This window comes from Homo sapiens, chromosome 1 (assembly GCF_000001405.40).
Source record: "Homo sapiens chromosome 1, GRCh38.p14 Primary Assembly".
Taxonomy (NCBI): Eukaryota; Metazoa; Chordata; class Mammalia; order Primates; family Hominidae; genus Homo; species Homo sapiens.
The window spans coordinates 224793291-224821047 of record NC_000001.11 but is presented as its reverse complement, the minus strand read 5'-3'; the positions used below and the strand labels follow the sequence as shown (position 1 = coordinate 224821047).

The 27757-nt window shown below is 42.9% G+C and overlaps 1 long non-coding RNA gene across 2 annotated transcripts, besides 1 other annotated feature; it reads left to right on the top strand.

Moving 5' to 3' along the window:
* On the top strand, positions 1–27749 carry LOC105373108 (uncharacterized). 2 transcript variants are annotated; one of them, XR_001737826.2, is made up of 4 exons: positions 1–142; positions 1822–1898; positions 24356–24412; positions 27632–27749. It is a non-coding gene; the product is annotated as an uncharacterized LOC105373108 (long non-coding RNA). The 2 variants fall into 2 exon arrangements; XR_001737827.3 differs by lacking the exons at positions 24356–24412; positions 27632–27749 and adding an exon at positions 16577–18647.
* Positions 19821–20364: an enhancer, noted in NCBI's record as "OCT4-NANOG hESC enhancer chr1:224988386-224988929 (GRCh37/hg19 assembly coordinates)". NCBI's record gives its function as "activates a minimal SCP1, AML or CMV promoter by ChIP-STARR-seq in naive H9 embryonic stem cells {active_cell/tissue: H9 hESC(naive)}" and the evidence as "EXISTENCE:reporter gene assay evidence [ECO:0000049][PMID:30033119]".
* Positions 27750–27757: the final 8 nt, after the last annotated feature.

Genomic DNA, 27757 nt, shown 5'->3' with positions numbered 1-27757 from the left:
CACTTCACAGACACAGAAATGTGCTAAAAGGCAAGTTGTGTTTCTTTCTTGTATCTAAGGAAATGGTCCCACTGAGGCCCAAGACTTGACAGTGGAAGTCTTGCCAATTTAAAGTCTAATGAAGATTGTGAATTATTGACTGGTAAGATTGATTTTTATGGCTTATGTATGAGACTTATAAAATTGTAAATTCATATTTAGGGGTTTAATCCAGAAACATCATTGAAATGCCAAGAGACTGTGGTCCCATTATCTGGCCATTACACACCTGCCACATCCATGGAAGTTTCAAAACGTGTCTGCATGTTCTTTGGCCATCTTGTCATGAAGCTGTGGAGTCTATGTCCCCTTCCCTTGAGTCTGGGCAGAACCTGTGTCTGCCTTGACAAATAGAATGTAGCAGAGTGATGCTATCATCTCCAATGCTAGCTCAGGAAAGGCCCTGCAGCTTCAGCTGATCTTCTGAGACATTTGCTCTGGGAATCTTCAGTCCAATTAGCATGTGAGAAGGTTCAACTACCCCGAAGCCACCACGTGGGGAGACCAGAGAGACAGAGATCCTGAGAAGCCCCAGACACATGAATGCAGACACCACCATCTGTCTGCAAAATCTGCATAGCTGAGCCCAGTCAAACCCCAGACACATGAACAAAAATAAATATTAATTATTATTTTAAACCACTGTTCCGTGGTGGTCTGTTAAGCAGATAACCAGAACACCAACTCTCTCAAAAGGTGTTTGGTTGATGTAAAATATTGCAAGGGCTGTATCATAATGCTATCTCTAGTGCTACCACTGCTTCTACCCCCAAGTAAATAGAATTATATTGGCTGCCATTTGTTGCATGCTTTCTAAGGAGGCAGACCCTGGTCTGAGCACTTTCTATACATTATCAGCCTGCATCCTCACAATGCTCCTATGTGGTAGATAACATTATCATCCCCATCTTATCAGTAAGATAACATAATTGAGGTTGCAAGACATTAAATAACTTTTCCAGTGTTGTTATCTGCAGATGCTCATGGAAGGCCTCCTTGTGCTCCACCTTGGGTTAGGAACTGAAAACAATGAGGCTATGGAGACGTGTCCTCAGTCTCTTGGAACTTGCCAGCTAACCGGGCAGGCAGATATTCACTGAATTTTACATTAACGCTGTGATAAGAACAAAAAGAGCCACATGGTACTGCAAGGGCATATACCAGGGAGATGGTTTGGAAATCAAGGAAAGCTTCCCCAGGAGGGAGTGCTGGGCTAAGAGGATAAAGGCTTGTGGGGAGAAGGCACAAGAGCGTACTCAAGGAGCTGAAGGAAAGTCTGGGGGAGAGGGCACCCAGGATGAGATGGCCAGGGAGAAAGAGGCAGGGGCCAGATATGCAGGGCCTGGTAGGTCACTTTAAAGGTTTGAGTCTTTATCTTAAGGCCCCAGGAAGTGATTGAAGAGTTTTAGGCACTGAAAGGACACAATTAGAATGGTACTTTTGAGAAGATAATTTTGGTCTTTGAGGGCAGTACACGCATTCAGGGAGAAAAAATCAACTTCCTATTTCCCCTGCCATGGAACCACCTGTCTCCACCCCCACAACTATGGTAAACTAGGCTGCTAGGAAGAAGCCCTGATTATGTGCCATTTCCTTCCTTCTGGCTATATCCAACCCCTTCCACAAGGTACAAAAGGCAAAAGAATACAACAAGCTGGTTAGGCATTTGGGTTTTGAGAGGTTAAGCTCCATGTATTCTGAAGTGGAGCTCATACAGAAATGCTAAGATGGTGCTTCCCTTTACTGCCTATTTCTCATGCCAATGACTTTCTGTCTCTCTAGGCACAAGTAGAGCTTCCTGCACTCAATGATGGACAACTGAAGGCCTGTGCTAGCACTCTGTTTGGTACTTAGGAGAGGTAGGTGCCTCGCTGTGCTTGTAAACTCCTTAGGGAGACAACTGGGACATGTATGCAATGCCCAGCTAAATGAAGATCCTGGCTCAGTCTGCACTGTGCCTGCACCTGGGGTCCAGACCTTTCTGGGCATATCTGAGGAGTATAGAGTGGGGGAATCTGTAGGCATCTATTTGCCTGAGTGATCTAGCAAGGGAGGAAGAAGCTTGTGTGGCCCATGATTGTGGACAGGGCTTGGGGAAGAGAAAGGGATGGAAAGAGGCTGGGTCTCATGGACTCCACAGTCATGGAGAGATGCTGCATGGAGAAGCTGAGGGTGCAGTTTCAGGGGCTTCTGTACAATACAGGAGAACACACACTGACCAGAACATGGAAAGGGCATGTCCTTTCTGCTTGGGACTTGGGTAACCAGCCCAGGGAAGACTGCAGGGAAGCAGAGATGCTGCTCTTCATGGGCAGTGTGTCCTCCCTGAGGGTGGGTCCTTCCTGGAGTGGCAGCTGTGAGCCTCATGGGCTAACAAGGGGTGCATGACATGACTTTTGAGGGTTCTCATGAGAGAACCCCTAGGAACCTCAAGGAACCACTGGCAAGATTTTATATTAGAGCTGAGGATCCTTCCTTGTGCTGCTTGGGACACAAATCAGGAGAATGTTATTATTCCTGTTAATTTCCTTCATGGGGGATGAGGTCTGGGGAATATTGGGCTACTTAGGGAACAGCTGAGAGCTTAACAATGTTTTTCTGACTACATGTACAAAAGACAGAAAACACAAGAACCCTCCCAGTTCCCCTAATGGGGGAGAAGACTACAGCAGTGGCAACACACTCGTCCTTTGTTTTAGGCAGAGTTCTCCAGAGAAACAGAACCAATAGGATGTGTGTACATATATATAGAAAGACAGAAAGAGACTTATTATAAAAAATTGGCTCACACAATTGTGGAGGTTGCAAGTCCAAAATCTGATGGAGGAGTCTGGCAGACTGGAGACTCAGGAAGGAGTTGCAGTTTGAGTTATAGGCAGTCTGTTATACAACCAGGAAGAGCTAATGTCGCAGATGAAACCCGAAGGCTGTCTGCTAGAGAGTTTCCTCTTGCTCAGGGGAGGTATTTTGTTCCATTTAAGCTTTCAACTGATTAAGGAGGCTCACCAACATTAGGGAAGGCAATCCTCTTTACTTAAAGTCTGTTAATTTTAATGTTAATCTCATCCAAAAACATCCTCACGGAAACTTATGTTTGTTCAAAATAATGTTTGAATTGGCCCAGGCAATTACACATAAATTAATCATCACATCCCTGTTCTCAAGAATCCCAAGTCACCCATCACCCCAAGAGGCTCAGCTGATGAAAGCTTACCTGATAGCACCTGCACATAGTGTCTGATGGGCAGGAGAGTGCAAGGGAAGGGAGCTGGATGGGGGCCCTCGGCTAACGGAATTCAAGGACAAACTTTACATGCAATGTAGGGATTCAATATTGGGGGAAATTTAAAGACACACTGTTAGTTCTGCATATTCATACTGTTTCAAAGCAATGCAAATCACAAGTACTGAGTGGAAGAGCATTTGGTTTCAATTTTTGAATAAATTACCATGACTTAGTCCATCCTTCCAGGGAGTCATATCTAAATAAAAATCATGGATATGAAAACGAAGGCAACCACTCCTAACCTCAATTTCAAGGGTTGGAAGGAAATACATTTTGTCCTTCTTTGAGTTCAGACACTTGCCAGTTTCCAGGAACTCCAAATGGCTACTGAGGTGACTCTGGTAATGAGACCATTCTGTAGAAGGATCTTGGGGAAGTGCTTTTCTCTAGGAGAAAATTGAGTGTGTTACCCAAGACAGCACCTGAGGTTGGAATGAGAGGAAAGGGGGAATGCCACTTGTGGACAGGCTACTCAGGAAGTCCATCTTGACATCCCTTGAGATATCAAAGACCACAGTCTCCCAGGCAAGGAGCCAGAGAGTCATGGGGGAAAGACAGCCCCTCAGGAGCAGAGGGGTGGGCCTGTAGTTGGAGCCTGAGTCCTGGTCTTGGTTCTTCTATTAACTATTAATGTGATTCTGAGCAATTGCTACACGGGATTCTCTGGATCTCTGCTCCATGATTTTTTAAACGAGAGGATCACAAATTTGAGTGCTGTTATCACCATGCAGAGGCAGTGAAACACGGTGAAGTGGCACTGAGCACCAGGCTGATCTGTATACCAGCCCACTGCTTAGCCTTCCACATCTTGCCTTCCCATTCATATTAACAACTTGGTAATACACATGAGGCACAAAGCTGTTCCTGCCACAGAGTAAGAAGCCCAGTAGATTTTAAGTGCATAAACATAAAACTCAACTGGGGGAAACTTATTAAATGTGCATATTCCCAGGCTCACCTCACAGCCTCCAAGCAGGCAGACCCTGGAATCTGCATTTTTAACAGACGGCCTGTTGTGGGAACTCACCTCGTGATTGTGTGAGTCAATATTCCTTAATAAACTCATATATATATATATAAAGCTTTCCTTAATGCAATTTTGAAGTGAATAATCTAGAGAACAGTTTGAGAAATAATGAAATAGAATCAGTGATTTTCAAACTTTTCTCAGGATGACCTCAATAAGAAACCAATTTTATATCATGATCCAATGATCCAATATATAAAAGATATTCACATATACACAATCAAAACAGATATATTAAAAGCAATATATAAGGCTCATCTTATATGAAGCATTCAATTTATTTTGTAATTTATTGTGGTAAAAAACACATAACATTAGCTGTGCCATCTTAACCATTTTAAGTGTATAGTTCAGTGGTGTTAGGTATATCCACATTGTTGTGTAACAGATCTCCAGAGCTTTTTCATCTTGCAAAACTGAAACTCTATACCTGTTAAACACTAACTTCTCCTCCTCTCCCCACAGCCCTTGGAAACCACCTGCTCTTGTTTGAATGTGTTCCCTCCAAAATTCAGATGTTGAAACTTAATGGCCAATGTGATAGTATTAAGAGGTGGGGCCTTTAAAGGGTGATTAGACCATAAGGGCTCCTCCCTCATGAGTGAGATTAAGGCCCCTATAAAGGAAGCTTCCTGCAGCATTCAGGCATCTTGCCCTTCTGCCTTCCACCAAGTAAAGATAGAGCATCCCTCCCATCTGGAGGACACAGAGCAAGGTACCGTCTTGGAAGCAGAGAGCAGCCCCCACAAGACACCAAACCTGCCAGTGCCTTGATCTTAGACTTCCCAGCCTCCAGAACTGTGAGTAATAAATTTCTGTTGTTTAAGCCACCAGTCTATGGTATTCTGTTATAGCAGCCTGAATTGACTAAGACAACACCATTCTAGTTTCTGTTTCTGAGTTTGACTACTTTAGATAATTCATGAGTAAAATCATATAGTATTCGTCCTTGAGACTGGCCTATTTCATTTAGCATAATATCCTCAAGGTTCATCCATGTTGTAACATGTGACAGGGTTTTCTTTTTTAAGGCTGCATAATATTTCATTGTATGTATTTATGTACCACATTTTATTTATCCATTCATCTGTTGACGGGTATTTGGGTTGCTCTACATGTTGGTTATTGTGAATAATGCCATGATGAACATTGCCATGCAGAAATCTCTTTGGTGTCCTCCTTTGAGTTCTTTTGAATATATGCCCAGAAGTGGAATTGCTGGATCAATTGGTAGTTCCAGTTTTAGTTTTCCAAAAAAAAAAAACCCATATTGTTTTCCATAATGGCTGCACCATTTCACATTCCCAGCAGTGCACAAGGGTTCTAATTTCTTCACATCCTTGTTAACACTTGCTATTTTCTGTTCTTTCGATAGTGGCCATCCCTATGGGTAAGTAGTATCTCACTGTGGTTTTGATTTGCACCTTCCTAATAATTAGTGATACTGAACATCTTTGCATGTACTTATTGGCCATTCAGATACTTTCTTTAAAGAACTATCTATACAAATCCTTTGCCCATTTCTTAATCAGCTTGTTTGGTTTTTGTTGAGTTGAAGTTCCCTATATATCCTAGATATCAGATATATGATGCGCAGTTATTCTTTCCCATTCCATAGGTTGCCTTGTCACTGTTTCTTTTGATGTGCAGGAGTTTTTAAGCTTGATATAGTCCTATTTGTGTATTTTTTGTTCTGTGGTCTGTGCTTTTGGTGTCATCTCAAAGAAATTGCCAAATCCAATGCCCTGAAGATTTCCCCTATGTCTTCTCCTAGAAGTTTAATAGTTTTGGGCCTTAGATTTAGGTTTTTAATCCATTTTGAGTTAATTTGTGTACATGATATAAAGTAAGGATCCAACTTCATTCTTTTGTATGTGGATATTCGGTTTTCCCAGTACCATTTGTTGAAGAGACTGTCTTTTTCCAATTGTGTAGTTTTGCTGCTCTTGTCAAAAATCATTTGACCTATATGCAAGGGTTTATTTCTGGATTCTCTATTCTGTTTCATTCATCTATATCTATCTTAATACCACTACCACATCATCTTAATTATTTTTGCTTTGTACTGTGTTTTAAAGCCAGAGAATGTGAAGCCTCAAACTTTGTCCTTTTTCAAAATTGTTTTGACTATTCAGGGTCCCTTGATGTTCCATACAAATTTTAGGATTTTATTCTCTAAAAAATGTTATTAGAGTGATTATTTAAAAGTCAAGAAACATCAGATGCTGGTGAGGCTGTGGAGAAAACAGGAATGCTTTTACACTGTTGGGGGGAATGTAAATTAGGTCAACCATTGTGGAAGACAGTGTGGTGATTCCTCAAAGGCCTAGAACCAGAAATACCATTTGACCTAGCAATCCCATTACTGGGTATATACCCAAAGGAATATAAATCATTCTATTATAAAGATACATGTACATGTATGTTCACTGCAGCACTATTCACAATAGCAAAGACATGGAGTCAACCCAAATGCCCATCAATGATAGTCTGGAAAACAAAAATGTGGTACATATACACCATGGAATACTACGCAGCCATAAAAAGGAATGAGATTATGTCCTTTGCAGGGACATGGATGAAGCTAGAAGCCATTATTCTCAGCAAACTAACTCAAGAACAGAAAACCAAACACTGCATGTTCTTGCTTATAAGAGGGAGCTGAACAATGAGAACACATGGACACAGGGAGGGGAACAACACACACTGGGACCTGTTGGTAGGGGTTGGGGGAGGGAGAGCATCAGGATAAATAGCTAATGTATGCAGGGCTTAATACTTAGGTGACGGTTTGATAGGTACAGCAAACCACCATGGCACACGTTTACCTATGTAACAAACCTGCCCATCCTGCACATGTATCCCAGAACTTAAAACAAAATAATTTTTAATGCCATTAGAATTTTATAGGGGTTGCATTGAATCTGTAGATTGCTTTTGCATAGTAGGGACATTTTAACATTATTAAGTCTTCCAATCCATTAGCACAGCATGTCTTTCCATTTAGTTGTATCTTCTTTGATTTCTTCTAGCAATGTTTTATAGTTTTCAGTGTCTTAGTCTGTTTGAGATGTTATAACAAAACCCCATAAACTGGGTAGCTTATAAATAACAGAAACCTATTTCTCACAGTTCTGGAGGCCAGAAAGCCCAGGTGCTAGTAGATATGGTATCTGGGGGAGGGGCAGCTTTCTCATTTGCTGTGTCCTCACATGGTGGAGGAGAAAACAAGCTCCCTCAGTCCTCTTTTACAAGGGCACAGATCGCATTTCTGAGGGCCCCACCATGATGACCTAATCACCTCCCTGAAGGCCCACCTCCTAATATCATCACATTGATAATTAGGTTTTGACAAATGAATTTGGGGGTGGGAAGGGAACAAACATTCAGAACATAGCACAGTGTTATTTTGTATTGTTTTTATTCCATTTTACTTCACTTCTTAAAATGCTGTCCTTGACCCACTAGTTGCTTTTGCAAACCACAAATTGAAAAAAATGTAGAAACAAATGATTTCTAGTTTCTTCTCAACAATTTGTAATAAAATCAGTGAGCCATCTTGACACAGGATTGCTACAAACCCTCTGTATTTGAACTTGAAATACATAGTGAATAATTCCCTCAATTAGGTTTTGTTTCTGCCGTGTGATATTTGATTTGACCTTGAGGAACAAATGGCCCCTCACATTGAACAAAGCCAAACAGACAAGCTTCGATAAAGCTCAAAGCAGTTGATATCTGTAGAGAGAAACAGCCTCATGTACTTAGGAAGGAAAATCTTGACAAATAAGCTCTGAGCAGGGGCAGAGGCTCTGAACAGCACTGATAGTGGTGATGCCCAGATGCTGAGAAGATGGGGAATCTAACCTACAGTGTGGAGTATAGATCCTCCCTCATCCATGGGAGGCCATGAAGGAGGGATGTGTGTGCTCTGGGGCACCTCATCCTGGGCCCTGGAATCTTCATGAAAGTAAATGCACTCGACCAGTGCTTGAAGTGAGTGGCTTTTTTTGTACCAGGAAAGGATCCAGGTTTATATCTGTTTTGATGAAGGGCAAAGCCAACCTGGAACAGAATGCCAGGGCAGAGTCAGGGTTGCAGGACAGGGATGCTGCTGCAACCTCTTGGTTACTTTTTTTTTCCTTTTTTGGGGAGAGTCTCGCTCTGTCACCCAGGCTGGAGTGCAGTGGTGCGATCTCCACTCACCGCAACCTCTACCACCCAAGTTCAAGCGATTCTCCTGCCTCAGCCTCTTGAGTAGCTGGGATTACACGTGTGCACCACTATGCCCAGCTAATTTTTGTATTTTTAGTAGAGACAGGATTTCACCACGTTGGCCAGGCTGGTTTCGAATGCCTGACCTCAAGTGATCTGCCTGTCTCAGCCTCCCAAAGTGCTGGGATTACAAGCATGAGCCACCGCACCTGGTTGGGTTATTTTCTATTTCTCAGTTAACCTGAATAAACTCCCATTTTACAGGTAGAAAGTCAGGCCACCTTATAATTTAGAAGCTAAATTTGGAGAGAACAGAGACATTCAAATCTTCCTGATGTGTTCCCAGCACTCTCCTGGGACGAACAGCCCAGGGTGGAAGACGGGCCAACTACCGCAGTGCAAGGGAGCCAAGGGCCCAGCCTGGGCCTCTCCTGCCTGCTTTTTGTTCCTCTTTCATCAAGGCTGAGTTTCCCTGGGTGAGAGGAGCTGTGTGAGGCATCAGAACTGGCCCCCCTGCTTCATGCAAGGTTGGGTTTTGTATCTCCTGACTGGGAAGACATCACACTTCTTTCAAGGAGCACATGTGACAATGGCGGCTCGCTCTTGCCTCCATGTGAAGTCACAGAAAGTTTTTCTCCTGCTACCATGCGTCTGAAAAATCACCATCCTGTCATTCAGGTTGACCCAGGAGAAACCCACAAGATGGATTGCTGGAGTCCCTGTGTAGGCCGGACCAAGCCAGCTACCACATCCTCCCTAGTCAGGCATGAGGGCAAGAGGGCAAATAGATGGATCCCCCTCCAGGCTGTGTCTCATTTCAGGTTCGCTTTCTCACACAAACACACTGAAATCAAAGAGGCAGCAGTCAACCAAAGGACATGGAAGGCGATGGCATCAAACCACGTGAAGTCACATTTATAATTACCTCTCCCTCTCCACCACCCAGCAGTGCTGATTGAAACCTGAAAACATCCCCCTGTATCTACCTGATGTGGTTATTTTGGTTCTTTGCAGCAAATAATTACTTATTCTTCGGGCTACATTTTCTATTGTCAAGTCCTGTTGTGTTCAGGACTGCATGTTTCAGTAACAAACTGTTGGAGTAAATGCAAGTGACTTGAAAAAAATTAAATAATTCTTCTATTTATAATCTAAAATGAATCCAGTGGAGTGTTCTCACATTCCACTTGTCACAGGTACAACAGAAGGCAATAACAACTTCAGCACAGATAGCTTCAGGCAGCCAAAGACAGGGGATGGGGAGAGGAAAGAATGGGGAGAGAGAGGGAGAGAGAGACTTACCCCTGTGCCCAGGCTGTGGCAAGCACACAGGAGGGAGGAAAAGAGCTAAACTTCACCTGCTGTGTAGAAGAGCACTCAGGACTTGGCCCACTTTACTTCATTTTATCTTCTGAACTATTATGTGAGGGAAATTGTATTAGTCCATTTCCACGCTGCTGAATAAAGACATACCCGAGACTGGGTATGTCTTTAGTCATGAAAAAGAGGTTTAATAAACTCATAGTTCCACGTGGCTGGGGAGGCCTCACAATCATAGTGGGAGGCAAGGAGGAACAAGTCATGTCTTACATGGATGGCAACAGGCAAAGGGAGAGAACTTGTGCAGGGAAACTCTTTATAAAACCATCAGATCTCTTGAGACTTAATTCACTGTCATGAGAACAGCAGAGGAAAGACCCACCCCCATGATACAATTACCTCCCACTTGGTCCCTCCCATGACACTTGGGAATTGTGGGAGCTACAATTCAAAATGAGATTTGGGTGAGAACACAGCCAAACCATATCCTTATTATTATCTGTTTACAGATTAAAAATCTTCCAAAAGCTAATAGCAAGTAAGAGTAACTGGATGTACATTTCAATATATGGTCAATATATACTCAAAACACATGCTGGGGCCACACTGCCACTGGGGTAACCTGTCCTACCCTCCCACATGCACTCCTGGCCTGGGGCCTGAGGCTGCTGGCAACACCATAGGGGATGGGAATGAAGAACTCTGCCAGGGGAGGGGAAGTTTCCTCTCCTCTTTGGCTCTCCTGGTCCCTGTGTGGCTCTGATGGACACTGTCCTCAGATTCCTGTTTTTAAAGACCCAAGAGTTAGTGACCCTCACTAATTAAGGCCAAAGAACACTGCACGCAGAACGGGGAACTTTCTAGTCCCCACTCTGCCACTACAGGGCCACGCTATGACTCTCAGAGACTCTAGGCACTTCTGTGCCTTTGCAATTCTCTTCCTCCATTCAAAAGTATTAACGATTATATTTTACAACTGTGTTGGTATAGAGATGAATATAATCCAGGCTGAATTCATTATCACATATTCATTATGATTGGAATTATATTCTTTTCTTCCTTTTGATTTTAAAAGAAATGAAAATAAAAACGTTTTCACAGACCTCTGTCACGGGTCTTAGTCACTGCACCTACTGTTCCTAATATGGAGGAGTTGATCCTGTGTCACAAAGTAGCTGGGTGACCTTGAGCAAGTCAGATGACCTTTACAAGCTCCCATCCTCTTATCTGCAAAGTTGGCTTGCCTGTTCCACAGAGAGTGGTACTGATCATGGAAGGGAACTGCACTGCTCAGAATTCAGCCAAGCAGAACCTAGTGCTTACGGCCTCACCTGGGAGACAGCGAATGGAAATAGGCCAGCTCTCTGGGGTGGGACAGAAGCCAGCAAGGTACTTCTTGTTCCAAAAGGGGCTCAGCCTGGCCAAGCTGGTGTGCACAGACACACGACACAGTCACGGTCACCAGGAGCCAGTGGACTGCAGTGTCTCTATAGTTACACCAAGCACAGCTGTGGGTATCTGGTACAGTTTAGATGCTTCTGGCCCAGAGAATCTCATAATATAGTTCTTGACCAAAACTTCAACACCCAGACTCATTTCTCCCTGACTCATTTCAACTGGTACTTGTTTCTCTGGTTTCTGATCCTTTTTACCTTCCAGTTTGGCCACCCGCTTTTTCACCTCTCCCAACTCTCAACCCTCCTCCTTTAGGTCCTGTTTATGTTTTGCACTTCACACTCTCGGCCAGGTGCTTTGTCAAGCCAGTGAACCCTGCCGCTGCCACTACTGGACTCACTCAAAGTCAAGGGGTGCCCACAGGCAGCTCTGGTGGAGCACGGCCTTGGAGGGCTGGACCAGACAGTGAGGACTCCACAGAAGGTGACACTCAAGGGTAGACAGCAGGCAGGCTAGGAGCTCTGGCAGCGAGCAGCAGGTTCTAGGTGGCAGAGTAGCAACCACCTAAATGCCCATATGTTGGAGAATTGTTGAATGAGCAGAAGTGCAATGGAGTAGCCTGCAGCTGTACAAACTGAAGTGAAGCACTTCCCAGGACACCGTGCTAAGTGAGAAAAGCAAAGCACAAAAGAGTATCCTTAGTACGCTGTCTTTTGTCTAAGAAAGCAGGGACTGGAAATTATACGTGATCTGCTAATTTGGCAAAAGAGAATCACAGGGAGGATAACCAGAAAAAAATGAGATTGGTTACCTGCTGGAGAGAGGAAAGGGTGGGAGGATTGGAATGGGGTAGAAAAGATTGGGGGGGAGGGGGTAAACACGTTTCTCAGTATTTTTTGTAGTTCTTTTAGTTAATTTAATTAATTAATTAATTTTGGAGACAGGGTCTCACTCTGTTGTCCAGACTGGAGTGCAGTGGCACAATCTCAGCTCACTGCAAACTCTGCCTCCCAGGATTCAAGCAATTTTCATGCTTCAGCCTCCTGAGTAGCTGGGATCACAGGAGCATGCCACCACATCCGGCTAATTTTTGTATTTTTAGTAGAGACGAGATTTTGCCATGTTGGCCCAGCTGGTCTCAAACTCCTGGCCAAAAGTGCCTGGCCATCTGCCTTGGCCTCCCAAAGTGCTGGGATGACAGGTGTGAGCCACCACACCTGGCCTAGTTCTGACTTTTAGAATATTTTGTATACTCAAAAAAAATAAGCAAAATCATCAAGGACTGGGGCAAGGTGGGGGAATTCAAAATGGAATACAAACAGAAACAAATGACCCCAGCTATATTCCAAATGAGTAAAATAACTACACTTAGAAAGGGAATCTGAGGGTACAGAACAAATATAAGGAACACATTTTGAAGCACTGTAATGTACTCAAGTTAGATTTGTTTTCAGAGTGGTATACATTACCAATTCCAAAACTTCCCTAAGTGTATTGTAAGACTGAGCAAATAATTAAATATAGTGCAGATAACGAGAGAACCAGCTTTCTCATGTTGGCAAAGAGTTACAAATAAATAAAGTGAGGAAGCTAGAATGAACCCTATGGTTTTGGATGGGGAATTAGGGAGATATCAGTATGACCTTAGGCTCATAGTGCTCATTCTCTCTCTCTCACCCCAAACACAGACACACATGCACAAATGTAGAAATGAATATGTATGTGTACATTGATAAATACATATACACATAGAAATATTTTTCTAGCTCTGATTGCTTAGGGGGCCTAGAAACAATGACACCAAGGAAAGGGAAAACCAATTGGCATACCTAGTGCCTAGAACTTGATTTTTCTTTTTTTTTTTTTGAGACAGTCTTGCTCTGTTGGTGGCGTGATCTCAGCTCACTGCAACCTCCGCCTCCTGGGTTCAAGCAGTTCTCATGCCTCAGCCTCCCCAGTAGCTGAGATTAAAAGTGTGGGCCATAATGCCCAACTAATTTTTGTATTTTTAGTAGAGACAGGGTTTTACTGTGTTGGCCAGGCTGGTCTCGAACTCCTGGCCTCAAGTGATCCACCTGTGTCAGCCTTCCAAAATGCTGGGATTATAGGCATGAGCCACTGCACCCTAGCCTAGAACTTGATTTCTTAAGACCATTTTCCATTCAGAAGAACCAGGGCTTCTTTGAGAAATGGCTAATTCCAGGGGTGGGGCATTGAAAATACAAAATAAGCCTGGAACATCTTGTGATGTCAGAAGCTAAGGAAAGCTTAAAACAGGATGAGGGCTTGTCAAAACAACAGGAGAGGAGCTTGAAGAGGTTCCCACTGGCCCAATATGGGGCATTTTGAACACCACCACCACCAACACAACAATGGACTATATCCAATAAAACAAAAGAATTCATTAATCTACACTGATATAAGTGTGTAAATAGATAGAGAGAAGGATCAGCTCTTGCAGAAATAATAGAATTAGAAAATCACCATTGGAAGCCACCACAGTAATAATTGCTTCAGGCTAGACTCATTCATAAATAAGTGTAGTGGGAGAAAGCATGAGAAACAGGATTTTAATAGTTTCAAAGTATTTACCCCTAAACTACTTATTAATTGGAAAGGGAAAAACATTAACTTACAATTTAGAAATCTGGCTGACAGCACCTTAATCATATGGTCAAAGTCAACATCACTTATAATCAAAATAATTGACAGGCTATGACTCCTGATATGCACTGAGAAAAACAAAGCATCACTTCTTTGGTATTCTTGCCAAAAATGCATAACCTGAATCTAAGCCTAAAGAAACATCAGACAAATCCAACCTGAAGGCTATGTTGTAGATAACTATTGGCCAGTACTGTTTCAAAATTTCAAGGTCAGGAAGGACAAAGAAAGACCAAGGAATTCTTCTGTATTAAGAAGACTAAGAAGACAAGACAAGTCAATCCAGCATGTGATCAGGGACCAAGGAAAGGATGTTAGTAGGACAGATGGCAAACCTTAAGGTCTTCCATTAGAATTGTGACAATGTTAATTCTGTGATTTTGATAATTGCACTGTGGTTAGGTGAGAGAATGTCCATGTTTTTAGGGAAGTACTGACTTCTATACACTCAAGTATATAGAGGTCAATGCTTACTCTCAAACATCTTAGAAAAATAATTGTGTGTGTGTGTTTCTGTGGACAGAGAACAAATGATTGAGCAATTGTGGTAAAATATCAATTTGGGAGAAATCCGAGTGAAGGGTATATGGGAATTCTTTGTGCTGTGTTTTTTAAGCCTGAAATTATTTCAAAATAAAGTTAAAAAATATAATACAGATGCTAGTGGCTCACATTACCAAAAAAAATGCATCTTTTTAAGGTATTTCAATTCAAATTGATTAGAATGTAACTTTTAAACTGACAACAGCACATAAAATGGTTTTAAAGCTGAGGTGTAATGTAGTTCCTCCCCAACACTTACCATTTGATATATTTTTAATAAAAAAACCATAACATGTTCCTGTCAAGAAATCAAAGAAACAAACTCATTGCTGAAAGGGATGCAGAAGAACAATTAGTCCAACTTCTCATTTTAATGAGGAAACAGAAGCTCAAAGAAGGAAAGTCCTTTGCCCAAGATCATAACAGAACTGAAAGATCACTGTTATCATCCTAACTTAACAGTGAAAGAAGCAGACTCATAGATGCTGACCCAAGCCCATGCAGAAGAAATGCATGCTAGAGCACAAGACTAGAACCCAACTGACAGCCGGATCCCCTAAGTGAAAATGGAGAACCAGCTCAGCTGCTGAGATCTCTGCCCTGGGGCCTGTGGCATGACCTGTGCTTTACTACAATGATGCGAAATTAGCTACTTAAGCCACTAAATCTGGGTTCTGAGCCTGTCCTACCCCTAAATCTCATGGACTAGCTGCCAGCTAGGCCCACACACTACATTTCTCTGTTAATTTACAGGTGTACTCATATCAGTTAGCTATTGCTACATAACAAACTAGCCCCAGATTTAGTGGCTTAAGTGATTTATTTTTCACAATTCTGTGAATTGACTGGGTGGTTCTTCTGCCAGTCTTGCCTGGACTCACTCAGACTGCCGCATAAAGCCAATGGGATGGCATGGGCCTGGACTGAATTGGGTGGCTGCACCATGTGGTCTTTAATCCCAGTCCTCTTCACAGTTTGACAATTTCAGAATGGCAACATTACAAGTGAATAAGAACAGAAACTGCAAAGCCTCTCGAGGCTAAGGCTTGTACATTATAGTATGCCACATCTGACACACTCTATTGGTTAAAACAAGTTACAAAGTCAAACCAGGCTCAAAGGAATAGAGAAATAAGACTCCCCCTTTGGATGGGGATTGTTGCAAAGAATGTGTAGCCATATTTAACGTAATGAGCTTTGTAGGTTGTCACTAGAGATGCTAACGAAATAGAAGTCATACATTGGATTCCCATGTCATTCAGAGAGCACACTGTTTCCTGATGGTGGTCAGCAGCCATCTCCCCACGGCAGGTCTCTCACTCCCCAAAACCATCTTCCTAGCAGTGAATAGCTGGATGTGAAGAATCCCATGACTGCCTCCAGACCAGCATCAGTGTGGCCACCTGAGACCAAGCTCCTTAGCCCCAACTCACCTACAATGGATGGCAGTGGTTGGCTTGGGGTATGTGTGGCTCTCCTGCAGGTCCCTCTTCTTCACATGTATCCTCCCACAAAACAGAGTAGAACCCCTTTGGGCCCCTCAGTAGTTCATCCCCTGGAGAAGAGCTTTAAATACATAGAACTCCTACATGTGTGGGGCTGGGTGGGATTTGATTAAGAAAGGCAAAGATGAAGTCAGTTTTCCAGGCTCACAGGCAGGGCTGGAGAAGCATCTGAGGCAGGAAGAAGCAATTCCCAAGGGTGGGACAGGTACTGGTGTGCAGGTGGGAGTTTAGTTCATTAGGAGAGAGTGTGAGGCAAGCAGAGTAGCGCAGGGCAGGAGGATACAAGGACGTCGAAAGCAGATATATCCAGAGTGGCATTATACATAGAGCATTATTCTGGGAAAAAGTACAAGCTGATTATACCCACTTTGTGTCACCAAAAATAAAATTGTTCACTGTACTCTCTTTGCATCTCCCTCACCTCTGTCACCCTCCAAGAGTTCCTGGAAGGGGTTGTTATCCTCCCTTTATTGATGAGGAAATTGGACCTCAAAATGGTTTCTGTGACTTGCCAAGGATCACAGAGTTCACGAAGTAGAGAAATCAGAGCTTAAACCCATTGTTGTTTTGTTCTCTTTTCAGTGTGGCTCAATTTTTCCACTTTCTTTAAGATGTGAAACTTCAGTCAACCTCTTTGTGTCAGATTCCCTCCATCTTGAAAACAATTTCTGCCGCCTCCTACCTTCTCTGCTACAGGATGACTAATGTCCGTGCAGAACTGCAGGACTTCTGAAAGAACCACATGCTTTTGGGGCCAGAGGAAGCCAACCACCTGGCTGTGTGTTCCCCTTCTTTCATCTCCTACTGCTAAGGGCCTTGGCCTCTGAAGGGCAGCAACAAGAGCACCAGCTAACTTTCTTGAAAATTCACTCTGCCAGAAGCCCTGCTGAGAGCTCTACACACCTTCGTCTATTTAATCATCCCAAAGACACTGTTGGGAGGTATAGTTACCAGCCCCATTTAGCAGGTTGGGAGACTCCGAGGTTGTCACCTGCCAAAGGCCACAGACCTAGAAAGTGTTAGAACTGGGACAAACCCACATCGGAATGATTCCAAAGCCCTTACTCTTAGCAGTAAGACCTCGATGTCTCCCTGGCATTGTTAGGAGTCCTCAAATCCATTGTCTATGGACTGAGTACAAAATACATACATATTCTATAGAGAATAATAACATATAAATTCATCATTAATACATTCCTTGGAGCTTATTATATTCTCAGTTAATTGTGTACAAAAATTGCATCAACTCAAAAATGCTGGCATTCTCTGTCCTTCAGTCGTTATCCCTGTGTCCTCTGTGTACAGTACTGATTAGCTTGTCTGGTGCCATTACTCATCTCCCAGTGTTTGTGTCACTTCTTCAACAAGGTAAACTCCTAGTAAGTGGGACTACAGAAAATAGGGTTTCTTTTGAGTCCTGCCTGGTCCCACTCCAAGGTCTTACACTTGATAGATACAGATTTAGCTAACTGGTTGATTACAACAACCTCTGTAATACTCCTCCTCATATTGGCCCACAGAATGATACATCTCAAGTCTCCTGCCCTGTATCCCGCTGGAGATGCCCTAATGTGGCCTGCATGCTTCCAACAGCCCAGACTGTAATGAAAATAGCTACCATGTATTCAGCACGTTCTGTTCACTAGGCTCTATACTCGGTGCAGGGGATACTGTTGTGAAGAAAACAAAGCGCAGAGCTCAGCTATTGTATTAATGCAATGTGGGATGGCATTTCATTAACATAACCACCTAGAGGAGGGTATCATCTTCTCCCTTTTACTGATGGAAAAGTTGTAGAGGAGCAGAACTTGAACTAGGGTTTATCTCAATATGTTTTGATTTGTGGGTCACTACCCATTGTTGGATTAATGGGTGCTAAATGTATTTAGTGGGTCATAACTAACATTTATTTTAATGGATTGGTTTGGGATGGAAGGACCAGAGTACATAGCATGTAATAGAAGTATTATTTGCTGAAACTTTTGTTTCATTTACATACAGACATATAGAGAGTTGCAATATATTTCTTACTGTGAGTCATGTCAGAAAACATATGAAAGCCACTGGTTTGTTCAAATCCCAATCTGTTCTTCTATTTTCTATACTGTCTCCTCAAAAAAATAAATTTCCCAAATTATTTCAAGATTCTTTGGAAATTTCCTTGAATATATTTGGCCCTGATTCTGCTTTAGAATATGCTGCCAGGCTCAGGCAGTGTGGCTATGCCCCATGCTCCCTCCCACTGGAAAGCATCATTTCATAGGCTGCTGAAGAGCTCTTTCCCATGTTGGCAATCGCAGGCAGCTCCCCCTCGCCCAACTACTGTCTCAATTGGTTTTACCAGCCTAAAGAGATGCACAGTTGAGTTCCATGGCAACCACCAAGATAGGCTGGAGATCACTTAATTTTTGATATCGCTTAATAATAATAAGAGGGCAGCAAATGGCACAAGAAAAAGGACAGGTAATGACACCTAATCTCTTGAGGGCCAGAACCATGGTGATATACTCACTATGTTTCCCTCAAGCTTTTTAGCATGGAGCCACTAAGACAGGAGACTGAAGATACAAAATGATGTCTGAAGGGTTGTATTAGTCTGTTTTGTGTTGCTATAAAGGAACACTTGAGGTTGGGTAATTTATAAAGAAAAAAAGTTTATTTGGCTCATGGTTCTGTAGGCTGTATAAGCATGCACCAACATCTGCTTCTGGTCAGGACCTTTTACTCATGGTGGAAGGTGAAGAGGCAGAGGTGTGTCACATGGCAAGGGAGGGGGCAAGTAGCAGGGGAAGTCCCAGGTTCTTTTTAACAATGAGATCTTGCACGAACATATTATCATGGGAAGGGCAACAAGGCATTCATGAGGGTTTGACCCCATGACTCAAACACCTCCCACCAGGAACTACCTCCAACACTGGGGATCACATTTCAACATGAGATTTGGAGAGGATAACAATCCAACCTATATCAAGTGTCCAAGGCTTTATGTGGCCCTTTCATCTGAAACTACACTCCTCATCTTGTATTTGTGATCCACCTCTGAGGAACACTAGACATTAAGCAGCTCCTCCCATGGCTGTAGGAGATGATGGGACAAAGAAGCAGTGGGTGGTTCTACGGAAACAGCACTACACTCCCAGTGAGCAGACTGGGTCTAGTCCCAGCTCTCTCTCAATACACATGGACTTGAGCAAGTCATTTGGTTTCTGTAAGCACCAGTTTCTTCTTCTCAAAATGGGAACAAAAAGGATTTACCTTATTTATGGAATGATGAAGATGAGTTAAGATCATACAAGAAAGCTTTTTATAAATATAAGGCACATTTCCATATCTTTATATAAGGAAATAAAGAATACATAAAATAAGTAAAAAATAATAAAACATAAATAAATAAATGTGCCTTATAAATATAAGGTACATTTCCAAATTGAGATAGTAGTAGTAGTAAGAAGAAGAATACTAGCAGCAATAGCAGTAGAAAAAATAGTAGCAATAGTAATAGCCAATGCTTCCTACAATCTCAAAGTTCTATTGCACTCAGGAACTTGGTAAAGCACACTAATAATTACAGTATGTTCCTAATGACAAGAGACAAAATACAACACAAAATATCCTAAACTATGCACAGTAAAATCTGTTAGAAGGAAATATATCTAAATGTTAGTAGTGATTGATTTAGGATAATGGGATGGTGGCTTTTCTTCCTATTCCCCCGTTTTTCAAATTTTGTATGATGAACATATAACTATATTTTCAAATAAAATAAGTAGTTATTAAAGTTAGTAGATAAAAGAAACATTAATTTTAAAATAAGGAAAGAAGATAAGTGATCTTTGACAGAAATGAGTTGATAAGTTCTTGGGAGGAGCCAGAGATTCCAGGAGTGTCGATTTGCACTCCCATTGCCCAAAAGGAGGCAATATGAATACCTGAGTCACTAGAAAGTTATTGTTATAATAAAAATGGTATTCATCAAAGTTTACCAGAACATCACTATAATGTTCCCCTTCTTAGCTATGTAACTTGAGAAGGTTTTTAACCATTCTGAGGCTCCATTTCCTCAGTTGTAAAATGGCAGGAAGATTAAATGAGAAAGGGTGCAGGAAAGCCCCCACTTGCTCCCCTTTGTCTTCCAGCAAGGATTTTGTCATGTCTTTTTACTGTAACTCCTTGTTTCATTGGGGACTCTTTTACTTGCAAATGGCATAACCAAATCCACCCCCAACCTCTCAAAAAAAAGAATCAAATGGTACTGGAAAAGCACAGGAGCAACTCACAGATGGCAAAACAGGGGCAGAGTCAGACTTCAGGGCATCGCGTGGCACCTGAACCAAGAGCTGGCAAGCTGTCTCAACTCAGAGAGCAGCTCTCACCATCTGTCTCCGGGGCCACACGTCCTTATGTCTTCACTCTGTGACATCCGTTCTGCCTTTCTCCCCCGCAGATGGGCAGTGTCGTGTCTGCTTTCCCCTATCACAATAGCTCACAGACCGTGTCTACTCTCCTCAGTTCCAGCCTCTCAGAAACTGACAGGAAAATGCTCACTCTCAAGTCTTTTTTTTTTTTCTTTCTTTTTTTTTATTATTATACTTTAAGTTTTAGGGTACATGTGCACAATGTGCAGGTTAGTTACATATGTATACATGTGCCATGCTGGTGTGCTGCACCCATTAACTCATCATTTAGCATTAGGTATATCTCCTAATGCTATCCCTCCCCCCTCCCCACATCAGTCCCCAGAGTGTGATGTTCCCCTTCCTGTGTCCATGTGTTCTCATTGTTCAATTCCCACCTATGAGTGAGAACATGCGGTGTTTGGTTTTTTGTCCTTGCGATAGTTTACTGAGAATGATGATTTCCAATTTCATCCATGTCCCTACAAAGGACATGAACTCATCATTTTGTATGGCTGCATAGTATTCCATGGTGTATATGTGCCACATTTTCTTAATCCAGTCTATCATTGTTGGACATTTGGGTTGGTTCCAAGTCTTTGCTATTGTGAATAGTGCCGCAATAAACATACGTGTGCATGTGTCTTTATAGCAGCATGATTTATAGTCCTTTGGGTATATACCCAGTAATGGGATGGCTGGGTCAAATGGTATTTCTAGTTCTAGATCCCTGAGGAATCGCCACACTGACTTCCACAATGGTTGAACTAGTTTACAGTCCCACCAACAGTGTAAAAGTGTTCCTATTTCTCCACATCCTCTCCAGCACCTGTTGTTTCCTGACTTTTTAATGATTGCCATTCTAACTGGTGTGAGATGGTATCTCATTGTGGTTTTGATTTGCATTTCTCTGATGGCCAGTGATGGTGAGCATTTTTTCATGTGTTTTTTGGCTGCATAAATGTCTTCTTTTGAGAAGTGTCTGTTCATATCCTTTGCCCACTTTTTGATGGGGTTGTTTGTTTTTTTCTTGTAAATTTGTTTGAGTTCATTGTAGATTCTGGATATTAGCCCTCAAGTCTTAATGCACAAGAGGCAGCGGCTAATTGGCCATTGTGGTCAGGTGTTCATCCCAGGTCCAAGCAAATGTCTTTTGTTCTACCTTTTGGAGAATTGGGCCCTCTCAGAAAAATGCACATATGTGCAGTTTTCACATCTACTTTTAAGGGGTTCATAGAGCCTCTAAAGCATAAACATAAGCCATGAACCCCAGATGAAGCATCCCTGGTCAAGAGAGTTTTATTGTTATAATGCACCTCCTCTACCTCTCCCATATGTGACAGATGCAGGAAAGTGAGTCATGAATATAATTTGCACAAAGTAAACGTTCAAATTGCAGAGGGACTTCTTACAACCCGATCATAAAAGAAGGCTCCTTGGATACAGACACAGCAACAGCAATTCTATATTGCCTCTAATTTCTAATTGACAATGCCAACCACGTGTCTTTACAAACCATTCCCATACACCCCTTTAGCACTGTGCCCACCTGAAGCACCAGCCAATAACATTGCCATGTGATTGTTTAGCTGTATCACTCGCTTCTGCCTCTGCATTTATACACACCCACACTATCCTCTTCAGATGCATAAGAATTCTAATCCCCCTTCCTTTCCTATTTTCTGCCTAGATGCTGTGAGATAGGAAATCCGGGATGAACAACTTCCTGTTTCATGTGACCCTCTCACCACACCACTGCTAGTTGTATGCTTTGGTCAGGATTCTGAATAGCAAAAATACACAAACAAAACAGAAATATAAAAATCAGTTATAGGGCAGGTGCGGCGGCTCATGCCTGTAATCCCAGCACTTTGGGAGGCCAAGGCGGGCAGATCACGAGGTCAGGAGATCGAGACCGTCCTGGCTAACACAGTGAAACCCCGTCTCTACTAAAAATACAAAAAATTAGCCGGGCGTGGTGGCGGGTGCCTGTAGTCCCAGCTACTCGGGAGGCTGAGGCAGGAGAATGGTGTGAACCCAAGAAGTGGAGCTTGCAGTGAGCCGAAATCGCACCACTGCACTCCAGCCTGGGCCACAGAGCAAGACTCTGTCTCAAAAAAATATAATAATAATAATAATCAGTCATAAAGTATTAGCTTATATAACTGAAAAGTCCAAAGTTAGGTATAACTGCATACAGGGGCTCAAAAAAGTCATTCAGACCATGCCCATCTCTCTCTTCTCAGCTCTCAGTTGGCTTCATCTTAGTCAGGACCTATCCAGAGTAACCCCCTGCCAGCTCTGGGTTTACAGTCTCCTTTTAGTTAGCATCTCCAGTAGAAGGAGAATAGTTCCAACAAAGCCTCAAAACTGAATCTCAGTGGAGAAACTTGAGTCATGTGCACAACACTGAGGCAATCAATGTGGCTATGGAGGTGGAAGACGCTCATTGGCCAGGCTGAAGTCACATGGTTGCCCCTGGAACTAGTCCACCTCCAACTATCTGCTTACCAGGAAATCTGCCCCACCAAAACTATATGGGGTGAACAGTGTTTCTTCAAAGAAAATTAGAGTTATTGTCAGAAGAAGGAATGAAAAATAGGCACAAAAAAAGCACAAAAGTCCATTACCTTATTTAATTCCCATTTTCTTTTTTCTCAATTCTCTCTTTGGAATCTTGATTTTATAGCATCTTCCCACAACTCAGAGCAAAGACAGCTATATTAAAGTTCAGCACTGGGCCAGGTCCAGTGGCTCACATCTCTAATCCCAGCACTTTGGCAGGCCAAGGCGGGCAGATCATTTGAGGTCAGGAGTTCAAGACCAGCCTGGCCAACATGGTGTCTCTTCCAAAAATACAAAATACAGCCTGTCTCTACTAAAAATACAGCCTGTCTCTACTAAAAATACAAAAATTAGCCAGGCATGGTGGCATGCACCTGTAATTCTAGCTACTCAGGAGGCTGAGGCAGGAGAATCACTTGAACCCAGGTGGCAGAGGTTGCAGTGAGCCGAGATTGTGTCTGTGTACTCCACCCTGCCTGGGTGACACAGTGAGACTCCGTCTCAAAAAATAAGTAAATAAAAAAAGTTCAGCATCAATCCCAAGGATCTCTCCATTGTAATAGTAGCTTTCTTTGGAGTCAAGTAGGACATAACATGTGGTCCACACAACTCTCCTGTGTCCAGAGGGATGAATGAAGAAATGGGAGTATAACTTAGTGTTCTCCATAGCTCACACCCCAGATAAGAACACAGATTTTTTTTTTTTAAAGTCTTGGACCATTACTACTGGTTTTATAATCTCTATGTATGTGCCTAGGCTTCACAGATCGTGACTCAGGAAGCAGGGCCATATGTTCATAATTAAAGATAATTAGAAGGAATATAGACATGACTTAGACTTTTTTTCAATAATCCCACAAAAGGGAATCTGATCAAGCATACAGTGTTCCCAGTTTTTTCTCATTGTACAATAACCAATACAAGTTGGGCTATATCACATTTCTTCTCTAAAAGCTTAAGAGGGAGTGATTGAATTTGTTTTATGTCCTATTTAATACTAACACTTGCCTTGCCTACTTCACAGTAGGCTCCAAAAAGTAAATGAGATAGTGTGTGTGAATGTACTTTGAAAATTATAAAGTGCAATTAGAAAGCAAGCTATTATTAAATAACAAGGAAAGTCATTTATTAAATCATTCAATAATTATTTACTAAGTGCTGTTTTTCAAGTATTATAGCATTTGCTAGGGCTATAAAAATGAATAAGATGGTCTCAGAGGTAGCACACTTCTAGCAGAAAGCAGACATATGAACAGTGACAGCACAGTGAGATTAGAGGTGGGTACAGATATTGCAGCAGCTCCCAAGTCACCTTATGAGGATTCTCCAGAAGAGAGGCCATTTGAGAGGAGGTGGGGCAGGAGGTCTGAATAGAACCCTCCATCAATTGTCTTGTCCACAGGAACACCAAATTTGATGACTGTCTACACAAAGTACCTTCATAAGACCCCAAAATAAGGTGAGTGATCACAGTACCTGGTTTTAACTTCATATCACTGAAAGATGCACTGAAGAGGGTAGGAAAGACAGTCTTGAATTGCCAGCACCACCCCTCCCTTACCCCTCAGGCAGTGGCAATATGACATGGAGGGAGAATTTGTGCAGTTGGCGAAGGGATAGCATGGCAACAGTGGGTCTTTGCATTGGAACTCAGTGCTGCTGACACTGGACAGAACTCCGCTGATGCCATTGGAGGGAGCATTTGGATTCTGCCCCAGCCAGAGGGGAATCAACCATTCCAGCAGTCAGAATTTGAGTTTTGCCAAGCCTCACTCCCATGGGCTAAAGTGCTCTGAGGTTCTAAACAAACTTGAAAGGCAGTCTAGGTGACAAGGACTGCAACTCTTAGGCAAATCCTAGTACTGTACTGGGCTTGAAGACAGTAGACGTGGGGGGCATAAAACCTAGTGAGACACCAGCTGGAGTGGCTAAGGGAGTGCTGGTACCAACTTCCCCTAACCCCAGGCAGTGCAGCTTGCAGCTCTGAAAGGGACTCCTCCTTCCACTCAAGAGGAGAGGGAAGAGTAAAGAGGACTTTGTCTTGCAACTTGAATACCAGCTCAGCCACAGTAGGATAGGGCACCAAGCAGAGTCATGAGGCCCCCATTCCAGGCCCTAGCTCCCAGACAACATTTCTTGACACAATCTTGGCCAAAGGGAATCTACTGCCTTGAAAGGAAGGACCCATTTCTGACAGGATATTATCACCTCCTGATTAAATAGCACTTGGGCCCTGAATAATCAGCAGTGGTACCCAGGTAGTACATGCCATGGGCCTTGGGTGAGACAGACATGCTGGCTTCAGGTGTGACCCCGCATATTCACAGCTGTGGTGGCTAAGAGGAGAAACTCCTTCTGCTTAAGAAAAGCAGAGGGAACAGTAAAGGGGACTTTGTCTTGCAGCTTAGGTACCAACTTGGCCACAATGGGGAAGTGCACCGAGCAGGATCTTGGGGTCCCTGATTTCAGGCCTTGGCCAATGGCATCCCTGGACCTAACATGGGCCAGAGGGGAGTCCACTACCCTGAAGGGTGAGTCCCAGGCCTGGCAGCATTTGCCACAAGCTGACAAAGAGCCCTTGAGACTTAAGTGAACATTGATGGTACTCTTGCAGTATTCCCCATGGGCCTGTGGTGGTGGTGGACATGGGGAGAGACTCCTCTGCCTAAGGAAAGGGCAGAGAAGAGTGGGAAGAACTTTTCCTTGTGGTTTTGGTACCAGCTCAGCTGCAGTGGTATAGAGCACCAGGTAGATTCCTAAGTTTTCTAATGCCCCACCCTGACTCCAGGTAGCATCTCTGGACCTGCCCAGGGCATGGAGGAACTTGTGGTCCTTAACGGGAGGACACAACTTGGCTGGCTTCACCACCTGCTGCTTAAGGAGCCCTAGGGCCTTGAGCAAACATAGATAGTAGCCAGACAGTCGTTACAGCAGGCCTTGGACAAGACCCAGCACTTTGCTGGCGTCAAGTCATCCAGCGCAGTCCCAGTGATGGTGGCCACAGAGGTGCTTGTGTCACCCTTCTTTCCGAACTCCAGGCAGCTCAGCATAGAAAGAGAGAGAGATCCATTTGTTTGGGAAAATGTAAGGGAAGAAAACAATTCTCTGCCTGATAATCCAGATAATTCTTCATTTTGTGTGTGTGTGTTTGTGTGCATGATGAAATCTCACTCTGTAGCCCAGGCTGGAGTACAGTGGCATGATCTTGTCTCACCGCAACCTCCACCTCCCAGGTTCAAACAATTATCTTGCCTTGGCCTCCCAAGTAGCTAGGATTACAGGTTCGTGCCACTGCACCCAGCTAATTTTTTGTATTTTTAGTAGAGACGGGGTTTCACCATGTTGGCCAGGCTGGTCTTGAACTCCCAACCTCAGGTGATCCGCCCCCCTCGGCCTCCCAAAGTGCTGGGATTACATGTGTGAGCCACCACACCCAGACTTCTTCCTGATCTTATCCAAGACCACCAAGGCAGTGCCTCTGAGTCTGCAAGAACGATAGTGTAACTGGGCTTGGAGTTCCCCTTAATGCAGATATGGCTGCAGTAACCAAAAACTTAGATCACAACACCCAAATCCCTTTGAATACTTGGAAAGCCTTCCCAAGAAGGACAGGTACAAACAAGCCCTACTTATTATAGTCTGCAAAGTGCATAATAAATGCACTGATATTATAGTCTGCAAAGACTATAATAAATACCTAACTCTTCAATGCCCAGACACCAACAAACATCCACAAGCATCAAAACCATCCAGGAAAACAAGACCTCACCGAACAAACTAAATAAGGTAGCAGGGACCCATCCCAGAGAAGCAGAGATATGTGACCTTTCAGACAGAAAATTCAAAATCATTTTTTGAGAAAACTCAAAGAAAATTAAGGTAACATAGAAAGGGAATTCAGAATCCTATCAGATAAATTTAACAAAGAAATTGATGTACAAAGAATCAAGCAGAAATTCTGGAGTTGAGAGAACATTTGAAATAGGCCTCTAAGAATGGGTGTCATCCTGCCAGCTGGAGCAAGGCAAGAAAGGTGCCCTGGACCAAAGACACAGTGAGAGCAAAGACAGAGAGAGTGGAAAAGCCCATCCAGACAGATTAGTCCCAGTTTGCTGGTGGTTTGAGGGCTTATCTCTACTTATATCCATCAGTCTCAATTTCCTGGTCTTTAGTGGATTTGTTGTTATTTTAAATAATACCATGGCTAAATATTCTTTGTCATCCAACATTTGCTGTCATCCATGTTTCATTCTTTTTTCCTTCCTTTGCTTTTAAAAACTTGCCTTCCTCTTTCCTCAGATAGTATCTATGACATTTTGTCTAGTTGGCCTTAGGGAAAGACTCAACATTTCTAACTGGCTACAGAACTAAAAAGTATTTTTTCCAAAAACTATTGTCTTTGTGTTTGGGACTTTATTATTAACAACCAAAGGCAGCTAGAACTTTCCTGATTGTGCTTTTTTAATAAAATAAATTTCATGCAGATACTTTCCTCCAAGAACAAGATTCCACACAAGCAGGTATATTAGTTATTTTCCCCTAAATAGATGGAAATTCACAGTGTTCATCACTGAACATGGTTTCTAAGTTGCACAATCTCAGCCATCAGGAGGGCTCCATGGTTTCATTCTAACTATGTTGTTCCAGAGGAAATTCTCTGTGCTTCTTCCCAATGCAGATGTGAATTCTCTGCCTCTGTCTCTTCAATCCACAAAACTGGCTTCTCTTCAATCCACAAAACTGGCTGGCCTAGCCCTTGCTCGACTGTGAGAGTCCAGAATAAAAATTTGTTTGGATTCCTATT